The sequence below is a fragment of the Homo sapiens genome, chromosome 1 (genome assembly GCF_000001405.40).
Source record: "Homo sapiens chromosome 1, GRCh38.p14 Primary Assembly".
Taxonomy (NCBI): domain Eukaryota; kingdom Metazoa; phylum Chordata; class Mammalia; order Primates; family Hominidae; genus Homo; species Homo sapiens.
Genome location: NC_000001.11, coordinates 95,205,075 through 95,223,241, shown reverse-complemented (window position 1 = coordinate 95,223,241; position 18,167 = coordinate 95,205,075). Strand labels below are relative to the sequence as shown.

At 39.4% G+C, this 18,167-nt stretch overlaps 1 protein-coding gene and 1 long non-coding RNA gene across 3 annotated transcripts in view, besides 1 other annotated feature; one reads left to right on the top strand and one right to left on the bottom strand.

Annotated features, from left to right (window-relative positions):
- The window catches only part of TLCD4-RWDD3 (TLCD4-RWDD3 readthrough), a 127,033-nt gene that overhangs the window by 21,714 nt on the left and 87,152 nt on the right, over positions 1 to 18,167 (bottom strand).
- The window catches only part of RWDD3-DT (RWDD3 divergent transcript), a 70,764-nt gene that overhangs the window by 10,741 nt on the left and 41,856 nt on the right, over positions 1 to 18,167 (top strand). For both annotated transcript variants that reach the window (NR_125949.1, NR_125948.1), the window contains exons 2-3: positions 1,411 to 1,556; positions 18,109 to 18,146. This is a non-coding gene — a long non-coding RNA (RWDD3 divergent transcript). The remainder of the gene's footprint in view (positions 1 to 1,410; positions 1,557 to 18,108; positions 18,147 to 18,167) is intronic.
- Positions 6,127 to 6,627: an enhancer, noted in NCBI's record as "H3K4me1 hESC enhancer chr1:95682171-95682671 (GRCh37/hg19 assembly coordinates)". NCBI's record gives its function as "activates a minimal SCP1, AML or CMV promoter by ChIP-STARR-seq in naive H9 embryonic stem cells {active_cell/tissue: H9 hESC(naive)}" and the evidence as "EXISTENCE:reporter gene assay evidence [ECO:0000049][PMID:30033119]".

Here is an 18,167-nt window from a genome sequence, read left to right as displayed (position 1 = left end):
TGCTTAACTTTGATGGAACTCAGTTTCCTCCACTGTAAAAAGATGCAAATTACACCATGATTTCTGAGAACCTTTCTGGTTTTTGAATTATTTACTCTTGCACAGATTAAAGTCATCCAGACATTGCATGGGTTACATGTGAGTATATCCAGTGGATTTCATGGCCCATTTCACTCCCAGCTTCTTTGATCATATGTATTTTCTTCTTAATAGAATTCAAATTCAGTATTATCAAGTGATATGCTTAACAAAGTTAAGTGAAGACAATATCATTTTGCTCAGTAGTGAGAATTTCTAAGAACTATGAAATACCTATGGGTGAAATAAAAGAATAAACTGATGTTATAAACCTTATCTCCACGAACTACCTCATGGTAGTTTTTATACTATAAGACTTGTGACTGGGGAAAGGAAAAATCACTAAGTTCTGAAACAGTACAGAGAGTTCCATTCTCCCTGCAGTTGAAGTCAGGTCTTCAAAGCTAGACAATGAGAAGGAAACGGAAATGTTCTTGTTTTTCCTTATGGACTATTGATTTTATTTATTTATTTATTTTTTTGAGACAGAGTCTTGTTCTGTTGCCCAGGCTGGAGTGCAGTGGCACAATCTAGGCTCACTGCAACCTTAGACTTCCGGGTTCAAGCGAGTCTCATCTCTCAGCCACCTGAGTAGCTGGGATTACAGGAGTACACCACCATGCCCAACTAATTTTTGTGTTTTTTGTAGAGACAGGGTTTCGCCATGTTGGCCAGGCTGGCCTCGTATTCCTGGCCTCAAGTGATCCACCTGCCTTGGCCTCCCAAAGTGCTGGGATTACAGGTGTGAGCCACGGCACCTAGCTTGATTTTAACTTTTATTACCAAAATCAAATGGGTGATTGCTTTTGTCACCAAAATAATGACCTTTTAAAAGCCCACCTTAATAAGTAACTTGCAATTACAAAAAAAGTTTGTGTACTCAATCTTAGCCAGCTGATACAATTTTACGAATCAAAAACTAAACTCCTTAGCCAAAATATTGACTTGGAAAAACAAAGCATAGGATGCAACTTGGAAATTATTATATTACTGTTTCTCTCAAAAGCACAAATCATTTTTTTCCAATAAAAGTAGAATTGATTCAATAAAGAGCATTAAAGTTATAATGTATTTGAGGGGATGCGACTCAATATATTTTTATATTTAATGGTGTCATATGATTCACTGAAAGAACCATCTCCAAAGTCAGTAATAAATATGGCTTGGAATTTTCGATAGCTTTGTATTGATGCCTAACCTACTTATACTTAAGCAATTATTCAGGAGTATGATTTCCGTCATGTGTTCATTACTTTGGGTAACATTTTAAGAAAGGGAAAGCAAGGAAAGGAACAAAACTATATCCACTGTTTTAATTGTTTGCACCAGCAGATGGGCGTCCACAGAATGAATACAGGAATGTCTGTCTGCCTGTCTGTGTATACTCTGTGAAGGAATATACCAACATTACATGCTGACCCAAGGATAGCCAGTACGCCTTCTGCAAGAGGAAAGTTTGTGTTTCAAAATCCATCAAGGTAAATCTTTGGCTGCCCACACTCGTGTCCCCAGACATCAGGGAATCTTAATCATCCACATGTAGTGAGGCCCAGCTATGGTGCTAGTTCCAACAGTACGTAAATGGCTGTGACTGCCAGGAGGAAGCTGACTCAGTATGGTTCCCCAGTCGCTAGCAGTGGTGATATTCGCAATATTTAACAGCGAATGCAGCTTGAGGCCTGGCCAATCTAACAAACACTAGGTATAAACATCTCTGCTGGCGGGTGCAGTGCACCCTGGCTGAGTGTCAGCCCCAGCAATTGAGTGTCAGCTTGAGCAACCAGTGCAACTTTAGAGTTTACAAATACACTTAAAAGTATATTATCTCATTTAGTCCCCCAAAATTATGTTATGTAGGTATTATTACTTTTCTCAATTTATGGGTGAGAACATTGAGGCTTACAGAGGTCAAGTAATTTTCCCTAGGTCATACAACTAGTAAGTGGTAGAACTTAGGTGAACTATGGCTGACCAGCACAACCAGTTTGCTTTCTTCTGCGGTTTCTCTTCCATTCCCAATGCTAATTATACAGACAAGAAACTCTAATTTTTTACGCTATGCTACCTACTCAGAAGTCAGAAAATAAAAGTGACAATTAGGCCAGGTGCAGTGGCTCATGCCTATAATCCCAGCATTTTGGGAGACTGATGCAGGAGCATCACTTGAGCCCAGGAGTTCAAGACCAGCCTGAGCAACATAGCAAGACCTTGTCTCTACAAAAAAAAAAAAAAATTAAAAATACATATATACCTGTGGTCCCAGCTATTCAAGAGGCTGAGGTGCGAGAATGACTTGAGCCCAGAAGGTCGAGACTACAGTGAACTGTAATCATACCACTGCACTCCAGCTTGGCTGACAGAGCAAGACCCTGTTTCAAAAAATAAATATTAAAAAAATTAAAATAAAATGTTGATCCAGTACTTCAGCATTGTGTTATTCAAATCACTCAGTTACAAGTAGTTTCCACTATATGACTTTTTACTTGGCCTGTGGAAATGTTAATGACTGTGCAAAGAAATATGTGAATAAGACACACTGAATATTATTTTCGTGAGGCTCTTCTTCACTGCTCTCAACTTCTGCTACCATCAGCATGTTAATCTGTATTGAAAAAAATGAACCAAATAGCTAGCTTCCTGGATAAAATTTATCCTGTGAGTTTAATCTTAGTAAGCAAGGCATGAAGTCATTCAGTCTTTTTTTTTTTTTTTTTGAGATGGAGTCTCACTCTGTCACCCAGGCTGGAGTGCAGTGGTGTGATCTTGGCTCACTGCAACCTCTGCCTCCCGGGCTCAAGCGATTCTCCTGCCTCAGCCTCCCAAGTAGCTGGGACTACAGGTGCGCGCCACCATGCCCAGCTAACATTTTGTATTGTTAGTAGAGACAGGGTTTCACTGTGTTCACCAGGATGGTCTCAATCTCCTGACCTCATGATCTGCCCACCTCAGCTTCCCAAAGTGCTGGGGTTACAGGCATGAGCCACCATACCCAGCCATCATTCAGTCTTTTTAAGGATTAAAATCCATTTATCCTGGGGAGATGAGACAAAACTCTGATGCATAAAAATTCCAAATAATTTATGTAGAACCTCACCCTCAAGGAGGTGGAGTACAAATGCCCACTCCTTGAGTACAGGCTTCACATGGTGACTTCCATCAGTGAGGATGGTACAAAAGGAGAGTGGGGAAGGGAGAGTAACTTCACAGTGGAGAAACCTGACAAACACTATGTTGGCCATGTGATCAAGGTCAACATCAACAGCAGTAAGTAATGTCGGCAGTCTGTACCCTTGATGTGAGGGGATTAAAGTGATACTTTACTTCTGTGGTCTTCCTCGCCCAAACCCACAACCCCAGTTTCATAGTGAGAAAAGCGTCAGACAAATTCCAGTTGAGGTACATTCTACAAAGTACCTGACCAGTACTCCAAGCTATCAAGGTCATCAAAAACAGGAAAAATCAGAGAAACTGTCACAGTCAAGATGAGACCATGAAAAGATAAACTTTGGCAAATGAAACTTTTAGAGTTTATCTGAGCAGTCAGCAATTCATGAATCAGGCAGCACCAAACCACGTGTGGTTTGGGCTCCATAGAGGGGATATGAGGGGAACGCTTTTATGAAGTGTTCACAGAAGCAACACAAAGAAAATGTTTGACTGGTTAAAGTGAGACAGTATCCTTAAAGTCTCTAGTTGGCAGTTTCTGATGAGTAAAGTTACTTTGAGTTGGGTTGCAAGGTTTGCTTACGTAGAAACCCAGAACACAGATCCCTCTCAGCCTAATGGCTTCCCAGAGCCCTCTCAGCCTAATGGCTTCCCAGTTACTTTTTTTTTTTAAACATAACTAAATGTTATGTATCCTGGATGGGATCCTGTAATAAGGAAAGGATATTAGGTAAAAACTAAGAAAATCTGAATACAGTATAGATTTTAGTTAATAATAATGTATAAATATTGATTCATTATAACAAATGTATCATATTAATGTTAACAGGAGGAGAAGTTGGGTGCAAGTTGTATTAGAATTGTCTGTACTGACTGCAACTTTTCTGTAAATCTAAAATTGTTTTGACATATGAAGGGTTTATTTTTAAAATAATTCACTTAGCATTTTGGCATTTCAATGGTTGATCATGATATACCAGTCCCTTGGTTAACTTAAAATTCCTAAAGAGACAGATAATAAAAGTGAGGCTGGAAATCCTCAAAGCCACACTTTCTTCTGAGGAAGCCTACCTACAACATCGTCACTCCCCACCCTCCACCCTCCCCCAAAGCTCCCCAACACACACACACACACACACACACAGTATCCCCTCACAGTATCCTTTCATGGCCAAGGTTCCTGCAAGACAAGGACAGCTGTCCCTCCCTATCCCTGGAAGACTGGTTCCAAGACCTTCCTGTGATACCAAACTCCAAGGGTGCTCAAATTCCTGATATAAAATGGCATAGTATTTGCATATAACCCATGCACATCCTCCAATATACTTTAAATCATTCTAGATTACTTATAATGCCTAATACAATGTAAATGCTCTGTAAATAGTTGTTATACTGCATTGGTTAGGGTATAATGAAAGAAAAAAAAGCTATACATGTTCAATATAGGCACATTTTTTAAAATATTTTCAATCTGAGGTTGGTTGAATACATGGATGCACAGTGTATGGATACTGAGGGCCAAGTGCAGCCTCTACTTCACCTCTCACTCACTCTTCAAACCACTGCAGTCATGTGTCTACCCAACAGTGACTCAAAGTCCAAATCCAGTGGATTCTCCTCAGTCTTCATCTTACTTAACCTGAGGAAGATTGAAAGTACTGATCACTCACTACTTTAAAACTTCCAGTTTCCTTACCACAGTCTCCTTGGTTCTCCTTTTATCTCTCCTTCTCGTTTACTAATATAGCAAGATACTCACCTTTCACCATTTTTTATTTTTGCCTTTTAAAAGGTGATAGAACTTGAGCTTCTTGTTCAGAAGGGTTATATGAATAAACTTCTAAGTTATGCAAATGTAGGGTGAGTGGCAGCCAGCATAAGAGGATGTTCCCCATGGAATGCCTTCTTCCTTACTGCCAGAGTAATAGATCCAACTTGTTCAATAACAAGTGTGTTCCTGGTGGTCTTTGGCTAGACAGCATTGGCAATTTTTGTCTTATATATAAGTAAAATACTAAACACATTTATATTATTGCTTATGTGATTCAGTGACTTTAAGTAATGTAAAGAATGGGAGGAAGTCACACATACACACACCTGATAGTTGATCTCTACATTGGCACACAGCCAGTACTTACCAAGTAATTAAACATTGCTTTATGTTGTCTATTATCCTGTCTAATCATTTCAGCATGTTTTTTAATGTTACTTATATGATTACCTATTAAACATTTACACTAAACAAGAGATTTCTCCAGACAGAAGGAAGATTTTGCCTTACTTGTTTTAAAAGAGAGTTCAAATAGGGATCTGATTAGATGTAGCTCAGGTGCTGCTCTCTTGCACACATTTGGGAAGCCTGAGCTTATGGATGGCAATTACAGTGTGTACTGCAGGATGGATACAGCACTGCAGACAGTGAGAAGATCAAGATACTGAGCTAATCTGTGGAAGCAAGAGCCCACAGTTCCTTTCAGAGGGGTTTGCCCTGTTTACATCATCTCTTCCTTTATCTTCGTTTACAACAGTAAGTCTACAAATAGATATAGACAGCATCTCTGTGCAGGTGGTTTTCTGTGAAAATTAGAGAAGGACCAAGTTTTACCTCTGGGTTCTCTCAATAAACTGTGGGAAAGTCTGGATTTTTATAGGCTATCAAACTAGGGTTGTGTTTCTATCCAATTCTGTCTAGATCTTAAAAGAAGGGAGAAACTCCAGCTTGGCATCTGGTTGTACATGTCATCTGAAAAATCAACTGAAACTTTTTGAATTCAAGTGGAGAGTGGAAGTGGCTGCAAGTAGACTATGAACTCTTTGAGGAGGAACTCTTCTGATATGGTTTGGCTCTATGTCCCCACCCAAATCTCATGTGGAATTGTAATCCCCATGTGTCAGGGGAGGCACCTGGTGGAAGGTAATTGGATCACGGGGGCAGATTTCCCCCATGCCGTTCTCATGATAGTAACTTCTCACAATATCTGATGGTTTAAAAGTCTGTGGCAGGAGGACTCTTCCAAGATAGCCGAACAGGAACAGCTCTGGTCTGCAGCTCCCAGTGAGACTGACACAGAAGATGGGTGATTTCTGCATTTCCAACTGAGGTACCTGGTTCATCTCATTGAGACTGGTTGGACAGTGGGTGCAACCCACAGAAGGCAAGCCGAAGCAGGGCTGGGCGCCGCCTCACCCAGGAAGCGCAAGGGGTCAGGGGATTTCCCTTACCTAGCCAAGGGAAGCCGTGAGAGACACTGTAGTGGGAGGAACAGTACACTCCTGCCCAAATACAGCACTTTTCCCACAGTCTTCGCAACCAGCAGACCAGAAGATTCCCTCCAGTGCCTGGCTCAGTGGGCCCCATGCCCACCGAGCCCAGCAAGCAAAGATTCATTGGCTTGAAATTCTCGCTGCTAGTGCAGCAGTCTGAGATCAACCTGGGATGCTGGAGCTTGGCAGGCGGAGGGGCGTCTGCCATGGTGAGGTGTGAGTAGGCAGCTTCTATGCTCACAGTGTAAACAGAGCTGCCAGGAAGCTCGAACTGGGTGGAGCCCACCGCAGTTCAGCAAGGCAGACTGCCTCTTTAGGTTCCACCTCTGTAGGCAGGGCATATCTGAACAAAAGGCAGCTGCCCCACTCAGGGACTTATACGTAAAACCCCCATCCCCCTGGGACAGAGCACCTGGGGGAAGGGGCAGTGGTGGGCACAGCTTCTCCAGACTTAAACGTCCCTGACTGACAGCGCTGAAGACAGCAGTGGTTCTCCCAGCATGGTGTTCAAGCTCTGATAACAGACAGACTGCCTCCTCAAGTGGGTCCCTGACCCCCGGGTAGCCTTACTGGGAGACACCTCCCAGTAGGGGCCGACAGACACCTCATACAATAGAGCTCTGGCTGGCATCTGGTGGGTGCCCCTCTGAGATGAAGCTTCCAGAGGAAGGATCAGGCAGAAACATTTGCCATTCTGCAATATTTGCTGTTCTGCAGCCTCCGCTGGTGATACCCAGGCAAACAGGGTCTGGAGTGGACCTCCAGCAAACTCCAACAGACCTGCAGCTGAGGGGCCTGACTGTTAGAAGGAAAACTAACAAACAGAAGAAGCATCAGCATCAACAAAAAGGACATCCACACCAAAACCCCATCCATAGGTCACCAACATCAAAGACCAAAGGTAGATAAAACCACAAAGATGGGGAGAAACCAGAGCAGAAAGGCTGAAAATTCCAAAAACCAGAATGCCTGTTCTCCTCCAAAGAATCACAACTCCTCGCCAGCAAGGGAACAAAACTGGAGGGAGAATGAGTTTGATGAGGTGAAAGAAGTAGGCTTCAGAAGGTGGATAATAACAAACTTCTCCGAGCTAAAGGAGCATGTTCTAAGCCATTGAAGGAAGATAAAAACCTTGAAAAAAAGATTAGAGGAATGGCTAACTAGAACAACCAGTGTAGAGAAGAACATAAATGACCTGATGGAGCTGAAAAACACAACACGAGAAGTTCATGAAGCATACACAAGCTTCAATAGCCGATTTGATCAAGCGGAGGAAAGGATATCAGTGATTGAAGATCAAATTAATGAAATAAAGCAAGAAGACAAGACTAGAGAAAAAAGAGTGAAAATAAACCAACAAAGTCTCCAAGAAATATGGGACTGTGTGAAAAGACAAGTCTACGTTTGACTGGTATACCTGAAAGTGATGGGGAGAATGGAACCAAGTTAGAAAACACTCTTTGGGATATTATCCAGGAGAACTTTCCCAACCTAGCAAGGCAGGCCAACATTCAAATTTAGGAAATACAGAGAACACCACAAAGATATTCCTTGAGAAGAGCAACCCCAAGACACATAATCATCAGATTCACCGAGGTGGAAATGAAGGAAAAAATGTTAAGGGCAGCCAGAGAGAAAGGTCAGGTTACCCACAAAGGGAAGCCCATCAGACTAACAGCAGATTTCTCAGCAGAAACCCTACAAGCCAGAACAGAGTGGGGGTCAATATTCAATATTCTTAAAGAAAAGAATATTCAACCCAGAATTTCATATCCAGCCAAACTAAGCTTCATAAGTGAAGGAGAAATAAAGTCCTTTACAGACAAGCAAATGCTGAGAGATTCTGTCACCACCACGCCTGCCTTACAAGAGCTCCTGAAGGAAGCACTAAACATGGAAAGGAACAACCAGTACTAACCACTGCAAAAATATGCCAAATTGTAAAGACCATCATTGTTATGAAGAAACTGTATTAATTAGCGGACAAAATAACCAGCTAACATCATAATGGCAGGATCAAATTCACACATAACAATATTAACCTTAAATATACATGTGCTAAATGAGCCAATTAAAAGACACAGACTGGCAAATTGGATAAAGAGTCAAGTCCCATCAGTGTGCTGTATTCAGGAAACCCATCTCACATGCAAAGACACACCTACACTCAAAATAAAGAAAAGGAGGAAGATCTACCAGCAAATGGAAAGCAAAAAAAAGCAGGGGTTGCAATCCTAGTCTCTGATAAAATAGACTTTAAACCAATAAAGATCAAAAGAGACAAAGAAGGACATTACATAATGGTAAAGCAATCAATTCAACAAGAAGAGCTAACTATCCTAAATATATATGCACCCAATACAGGAGCACCCAGATTCATAAAGCAAGTCCTTAGAGACCTACAAAGAGACTTAAGACTCCCACACAATAATAACGGGAGACTTTTAACACCCCACTGTCAACATTAGACAGATCAACGAGACAGAAAGTTAACAAGGATATCCAGGAACTGAACTCAGCTCTACACCAAGCAGACCTAATAGACATCTACAGAACTCTCCACCCCAAATCAACAGAATATACATTCTTCTCAGCACCACATCGCACTGTTCCAAAACTGACCACACAGTTGGAAGTAAAGCACTCCTCAGCAAATGTAAAAGAACAGAAATTATAACAAACTGTCTCTCAGACCACAGTGCAATCAAACTAGAACTCAGGATTAGGAAACTCACACAAAACTGCTCAACTACATGCAAACTGTACAACCTGCTCCTGAATGACTACTAGGTACATAACAAAATGAAGGCAGAAATAAAGATGTTCTTTGAAACCAATGAGAACAAAGACACAACATACCAGAATCTCTGGGACACATTTAAAGCAGGGTGTAGAGGGAAATTTATTGCACTAAATGCCCACAAGAGAAAGCAGGAAAGATCTAAAATTGACACCCTAACATCACAATTAAAAGAACTAGAGAAGCAAGAGCAAACACATTCAAAAGCTAGCAGAAGGCAAGAAATAATTAAGATCAGAGAAGAACTGAAGGAGATAGAGACACAAAAAAACCTTCAAAAATCAATGAATCCAGGAGCTGGTTTTCTGAAAAGATCAACAAAATTCATAGACCGCTAGCAAGACTAATAAAGAAGAAAAGAGAGAAGAATCCAATAGATGCAATAAACAATGATAAAGGGGATATCACTACTGATCCCACAGAAATACAAACTACCATCAGAGAATACTATAAACACCTCTATGCAAATAAACTAGAAAATCTAGAAGAAATGGATAAATTCCTGGACACATACACCCTCCCAAGACTAAACTAGGAAGAAGTCAAATCTCTGAATACACCAATAACAGGTTCTGAAATTAAGGCAATAATTAATAGCCTACCAACCAAAAAAAGTCCAGGACCAGAAAGATTCACAGCCAAATTCTACCAGAGGTACAAAGAGTAGCTGATACCATTCCTTCTGAAACTATTCCAATCAACAGAAAAAGAGGGAATCCTCTCTAACTCATTTTATGAGGCCAGCATCATCCTGATACCAAATCCTGGCAGAGACACAACAAAAAAAGAGAATTTTAGGCCAATATCCCTAATGAACATCGATGTGAAAATCCTCAATAAAATACTGGCAAACCGAATCCAGCAGCACATCAAAAAGCTTATCCACCACAATCAAGTCGGCTTCATCCCTGGGATGCAAGGCTGGTTCAACATATGCAAATCAATAAACGTAATCCATCACATAAACAGAATCAAAGACAAAAACCACATGACTCTCTCAATAGATGCAGAAAAGGCCTTCGACAAAATTCAGCAGCGCTTCATGCTAAAAACTCTCAATAAACTAAGTATTGATGGAATGTATCTCAAAATAATAAGAGCTATTTATGACAAACCCACAGCCAATGTCATACTGAATGGGCAAAAACTGGACGCATTCCCTTTGAAAACTGGCACAAGACAAGGATGCCCTCTCTCACCACTCCTATTCAACATAGTATTGGAAGTTCTGGCCAGGGCAATCAGGCAAGAGAAAGAAATAAAGCATATTCAATTAGGAAAAGAGGAAGTCAAATTGTCCCTATTTGCAGATGACATGATTGTATATTTAGAAAACCCCATCGTCCCAGCCCAAAATCTCCTTAAGCTGATAAGCAACTTCAGCAAAGTCTCAGGATACAAAATCAATGTGCAAAAATCACAAGCATCCCTATACACCAATAACAGACAAACAGAGAGCCAAATCATGAGTGAACTCCATTCACAATTGCTACAAAGAGAATAAAATACCTAGGAATCCAACTTACAAGGGATGTGAAGGACCTCTTCAAGGAGAACTACAAACCACTACTCAATGAAGTAAAAGAGGACACAAACAAATGGAAGAACATTCCATGCTCATGGATAGGAAGAATCAATATTGTGAAAATGCCATACTACCCAAAGTAGTTTATAGATTCAAAGCTATCCCCATCAAGCTACCACTGACTTTCTTCACAGAACTGGAAAAAACTACTTTAAAGTTTATATGGAACCAAAAAAGAGCCTGCATAGCCAAGACAATCCTAAACCAAAAGAACAAAGCTGGAGGCATCACACTACCTGACTTCAAACTATACTACAAGTCTACAGTAACCAAAACAGCATGGTACTGGTACCAAAACAGAGATATAGGCCAATGGAACAGAACAAAGGCCTCAGAAATAACACCACACATCTAAAATCATCTGATCTTTGACAAACCTGACAAAAACAAGCAATGGGGAAAGGATTCCCTATTTTATAAACAGTGCTGGGAAAACTGGCTAGCCACATGTAGAAAGCTGAAAGTGGATCCCTTCCTTACACCTTATACAAAAATTAATTCAAGATGTATTAAAGACTTAAATATAAGACCCAAAATCATAAAAACCCTAGAAGAAAACCTAGGCAATACCATTCAGGACATAGGCATGGGCAAAGACTTCATGACTAAAACACTAAAAGCAATGGCAACAAAAGCCAAAAGAGACAAATGGGATCTAATTAAACTAAAGAGCTTTTGCACAGCAAAAAAAAAACTATCAGCAGAGTGAACAGACAACCTACAGAATGGGATAAAATTTTTGCAATCTACCCATCTGACAAAGGGCTAATATCCAGAATCTACAAAGAACTTAAACAAATTTACAAGAAAAGATCAAACAACCCCATCAAAAAGTGGGCAAAAGATAGGAACAGACACTTCTCAAAAGAAGACATTTGTGCAGCCAACAGACATATGAAAAAATGCTCATCATCACTGGTCATTAGAGAAATGCAAATCAAAACCACAGTGAGATATCATCTCATGCCAGTTAGAATGGAGATCATTAAAAAGTCAGGAAACAACAGGTGCTGGAGAGGATGTGGAGAAATAGGAACACTTTTACACATTGGTGGGAGTGTAAATTAGTTCAACCATTGTGGAAGACAGTGTGGTCATTCCTCAAGGATCTAGAACTAGAAATGCCATTTGACCCAGCAATCCCATTACTGGGTATATATCCAAAGGATTATAAATCATGCTGCTATAAAGACACATGCACACGTATGTTTACTGCGGCACTATTCACAATAGCAAAGACTTGGAACCAACCCAAATGTCCATCAATAATAGACTGGATTAAGAAAATGTGGCACATATACACCATGGAATACTATGCAGCCTAAAAAAAGGATGAGTTCATGTCCTTTGCAGGGACATGGATGAAGCTGGAAACCACCATTCTCAGCGAATTATCACAGGACAGAAAACCAAACACCACATGTTCTCACTCATAAGAGGGAGTTGAACAATGAGAACACATGGACTCAGGGAGGGGAACATCACACATTGGGGCCTGTCAGGGGTGGGGGGCTGGGGGAGGGATAGCATTGGGAGAAATACCTAATGTAAACGACAAGTTGATGGGTGCAGCAAAGCAACATGGCACATGTATACCTATGTAACAAACCTGCACGTTGTGCACATGTACCCCAGAACTTAAAGTATAATTTAAAAAAAAAAAAGTGTGTGGCAGTTCGCCCCTCACTCTCTCTCTCTCCTGATCCTCCATGGTAAGATGTGCCAGCTTCCCCTTTGCCTTCCGCCATGATTGTAAGTCACCTGAGGCCTCCTAGCCATGCTTCCTGTACAGCCTGTGGAACTGTGAGTCAATCAAACCTCTTTTCTTCATAAATTACTTGGTCTCAGGTAGTTCTTTATAGCAGTTTGAGAATGGACTAATACATCTTATTTCCAATCCTTGCTATTCAAATCCTAGTCCAAGGTCCAACAGCATTGGCATCCCCTGGCAGTGTATTAGAAACACAGATTTCCAGGATCAACCACAGACCTACTGAATGAGAACCTACATTGAATAAAATCCTCAACGCACACTGAGAAGCACTGGAAGTCTGTCACTGCACCTTAATCACTGATGGAGAGAAAGGACAAGTAAGGAGAGAAGAAAGGAGGCAATCTTATTTTTAAAACTCTTACATTACAGTTGTAAATAAGTATTTTAAGTATTATTATTTTAGTAAATACTGATTTTAATAAGCAGTCTAAGACTTCATAAACAAGAAAATATTTTAAAACTAAATTTTAAAAATTTTATGTAGTACATGATATGTTCCTTTTCTGTTCATTTGTTCTTTAATATATCATTGTCCCAAAATTTCTCCCACCCAATTTTGTAACCTAAGTACTAGTATGGATAAAGTAGCATATAAAATTATTCTTTTTTATTACTTTAATTAAGTTGATATAAAAATCCTGTCAGCTTTGACCTAAAGAGCATTCATATTTTCTCTTGACTAGCTACTCAGATAGCACTGCAGTGTTTATATATTATTTTCCTTTTATTTATGTTTTCAGGGTGTTTCTGTTGTTTGTTATCACTGTTGCTGTTTTTAATATTCTCTACCAGAGCTGAGCACTAACTTTAATCCATTTTATTTGGTAGGAAGTTGTCAAAAATCAAACTGTGTCAAGTTAATATCCAACTTCATAATTTGAGCTCCCTTAAAGTTGTAAAAAAACTTTTTAAGAATCCTTCAAAACTTTTTCAGCCTTAGGTAAGCTTAAAGAAAAACTAGAGGTCAGAATTATATGTGATAAGGAACCTTGTGAGGAAATAATCTGGTTGATATAAGTACTTTGGGAATTCTAAGTACTGTGTTGGCCCTTATCCTTCTTAGCAAAGATAAGTTAATGTTTGTAGTGCTCACATGCTTGTGGCCTCAAAAACACAGTAAACAAAGAGCACAAGCCTGGAAGGGTAGAGAACTTACTTAAATTTAATTGAAGTTCTCCTTAATGTTTGCTGAAGAACAAGAATTTCTCCAAGTTATTCAACTATTATCTACACATTTTTACTTTCAGGAAATCAAAAATGATGTGAGGACTGCACAGCTTATAAAATATATTTGTCACAGAAAATTCTATTTTTCATTGAAACTGTTGAATATTTTTATTTAAATACATATTATATAAATCACTTAATCTAGACACTTTTTAATATATAAATTGTTCAGCATTCTATAAATGAATTCATCCGCCTTGTACAAATTATCCTGCCACAATAGTTGGTGTGAAGGGCGTCATTAGTTAGGCTTTGCGCTTAGCTTTCCACTTGAAGCCTGCTTAAAATAAAGAGTGCCCTTAGTAGAGACAATTCCAAACACACCAGAAAGCCTTGTTCTTCCACAGAAACATCACTAGGCAACTGTTATTTATCCTTAACTTGGAAAGACTTCCTTTCCAACCTAGATTACTTACCCACAATTAAATAATATTTTTAAACACCAGCTTGAAAAATAATGTGTCCCAGAGGCAGAGAGGTTAATAAGTCAACACATAAAGCAAGTGTTTCAAATGGATTTCGGACAAAATTGTATATTCAATATTCTAAAGTCACGGAGGATTGTTGGCTCTCCTTTTGGGCAATGGATCCAGGAAGGACCCAGCAGGGGATTCTGCTCATTGCTTTCCTTCTAAAAGTTCATATTCTTTAGGTCAAGCTATTGTTAGAACCACCATTCAGATCAAACACAGTCATACAGTTTTATTCTAAGCCACCTTTTTTATTACCATATAATATGCACAAGTTTGTACAATTAATATGAATTTTCACAAAGTGAACTCACCCATATATCCAGCACAGACCAAGAAATACAACATTGCCAGTGTCCCAAAGGTCTCCATTCTGCCCTCTCCCAGTCCTTACTCAGTCCCACCCCTGTCCAAGGTAACTTTTAACATCGTAGATTAGTTTTGCCTATTTTTATGTATGTAAATGGAACTTTATGTAAATGGAATCATAGGGTATTAACTCTTTTGTATCCAGTTTCTTTCCAGCAACAATGACATGAGTTCAAGCGATTCATCAACATTACTGCATGTAACTGTAGTTCATACATTCTCGTTGCTGTGTAATATTGAAGAAATATATAACAATTTCTTTTTCTACTCTATTATTGATGATATTTGGGCTGTTTCCAGTTTGGGGCTATCATGAATCATGCTGCTACATATATAGTTTCAAAACAAAAGTAATCTAATCAGTTTAAATAAGAAAAAGTTTGGCAGATACTTTTTTCATCATTAATTTCAACTAAAAAAATGAAGCTATTGGATTAGAGCAGAGATGAACCTTTAAATCTAACATTCTGTACTACAATATCTAAATAGCATGTCTTTCTTTTCATAAAAACTAGTCTCTACAGAGCCAGCTCACTAGTTTCCTATTTCTGCTGTAACAAATTACCACAAATTTAGTGGCTTCAAACAACACAAATTTGTTCTCTCATCATTCTGGAGGTCTGAGGTCCAGAATAGGTCTTACAGACCAAAATCAAAGCATTGGCAGGGCTGCATTCCTTCTCGAAGCTCTCGCAGAGAATATGTGTCTTGCCTTTCCCAGGTTGTAGAGGCTGCCCACATTTCTTGTTCCCTGGCCTGGCCTCCAGCCAACAATCCCATCACACTGCCAGCTGCATCTCCAGTCACATCTCTTCTGACTCTCCTGCCTCCCTCTTTCCCTTATAAGGACTCTTGTGATTACACTGGGCCAGCCTCGATAGTCCAAGATCAAGAAGATCCTCAATCACATCTTCAAGGTCCTTTTTGCCATGTAAAGTAACATATCCACGGATTCTAGGGATTAGGACATGGACATCTTTGGGCCATTATTCAGCCCAGCACTCCAACCCTCTGAAATTATTCCGCTCCCATTCCCCAGTACACTCTGTCCTTGACACCTCACCAAAGTAAAACGGTAACTCAATGTCCTTTTATTCTGTGATCTCAACTCCCAGACATTTACAATGTAAGCTCCTTGAGGAGAGGGACTGGCCAGGCTCTGTGCTGTTTCCCCACCACCACCAGCACAATCACTGATCCTCAGTGTGTACCCAGTAAATGTTGGTTGGTTGAGTGGAGAGGTAGCAGTCCCTATATCCTCACATCTTCTCCCTGGTAAATGAGAAGCAGCAGCATATGACATTCAGGGACCTGGGACAGCTGCCTGCAAGTACAGTTTTATTCCATATTCTGATTTTAACCAAAACACTTAAGAGCTCTCTGTGCTTCAGTTTCCTCATCTGAAAAATGAGGTGGCTGGCAAAGGTAATATCTAGAGTATCTGGCCAGCATTAATATTCATTTTAAATGGAAACAATGCTTATGATACATTGTAAAGTGAAAAGGTCAGAATTCAAAATTCTGTAAGCTGTATGATTTAAACTGACTATAATGTTATACACCAAACAAACCTAAGATGTTAACCAAAGGAGAAACTGAGGGTATACGGGGTATACTGGCACTCTGTACTAGCTTCACAGTTTTTCTGTAACTTTAAAACTGCTCTAAAATAAAAAGGTTATCTTTTTAAAGTTGCTTGGCAACAAGTCTAGATTATAAACTCCTTGAGGGCAGGCCTCATGTTCTCCCTCATATTTGTTTACATAGAACCTACAACAATACTTCATACAAAGTGCCCAATAAGCATTGAAATATAAAAAGAAACTGTTGATGTGGGTTTCAGATTGGTACAGACACAGTCTCTAACACTCTTCTCAGAACTGTGAAATAAGCTTCGCTGTATGTAAAGGTAAAGGCCAACTGGGCTTGATGAAATCACTGGTCATCAAGGAATGAGATCATGGAGTAGATTGTAAAAAGATGAATCAGAAGAGGCGTGAAAGGGACCAGAAAGGGGACATGTAGTTTGGACAGGCATATTTCATCATTTTTTATATATTTGAAAAATGAAAAAAAAATGTATTCATGATTCTCAGTGGGGATAAGGATGGATGTTGAAGGAGTGTGATGGTGTTCATATGTACAAGTATGGGCACATATCCAAAACTGGTTGAAAATTTTGATGTTATAATTTGCATGGATTTTTAAAGTTTGAAAAACATTAAATTATTTGGTTCCCCGTTAAAACCACTTTATTATTTAAAAAATTAAGCTACCTATTAAGCATCAATGATTATGAATGTCACTGTCTCCAGATCCACTGATCATCTCTAAACTGCTTGCTATGGTCTGAATGTCAGTGTCCCCAACAAAAATTCCTATGTTGAAATCCTACCCCACAAGGTTGGTAGGATGGGATTAAGAAATAGGGCCTTTGGGAAGTGATGAGAGAGAAGACCTCATGAATAAGATTACTGCTCTTATAAAATGGGCCCAAGGAGGCTCATTCAACCCTTCTGCCATATGAGGATGCAACAAGAAGACATCGTCAATAAACCAGGATGTGAAACCTGGAAGCAGGTCTTCACCAGACAGTGAATCTGCCAGGCCCTAATCTTGGACTTCCCAACCTCCAGAACTGGATAAGTAAATTTCTGTGGTTTATAAACTACTCAGTAGAAGGTATTTTGTTATAGAAGTCCAAACAAACAGACTAGGACAGTGTTTATATGATCCCAGTCCTAATGAATTACCTTTATAAATGCTTAGGTAGTGATTAAAGAATTATGCATAGAAAAGGTTACATTAAGAAGACATTAAACAACTAAGCATTGTCATATTTGTGTGGCAAGACCACGGATCACATTTCTTTCTCTTTTATTTCAGTAGGCAAGTTGTATCTCTTTGATGAAAATACAAATAACATTTAAGATATATTTAAGAGTCTATATAAAAAGATTTTTTTATAGTTGGCTTATAATTTGAGCAATTAATATTACAAATCTGTATGAATAACATATATAATCAGATTTTAAAAAAGTGTTTAGAAAAGATTTCTTGATTTCTCCTCCATCTCTCCTTCAAACCTGCTTCTTCTTTAGTTTTCCCTATCTTAGGACCACCATTCTCCCATTTGTTCAAGCCAAAATCATACAAAATCATTTATCGAGGCTTTTCCCTCACTTTCCTGTAAGCAGTCCATCAACAACTACTGTCAACTCTACCTGTAAAATATATCCTGAATCCATCCATTTCTCTTCATCTCCACTGTCACCACTTCAGTTTGAACCAATGTTTTACAAACTGTAAATTGCCACTCATTGCTGAGTTATCAAATCAGTTTTGTGGGTGACAACCGGCATTTCTTCTTTTACAGTGAAAGAGAACAGAAAAATTCAGAGGGCGTCATTCACGGTAAGGGTATTGTCTCATTAA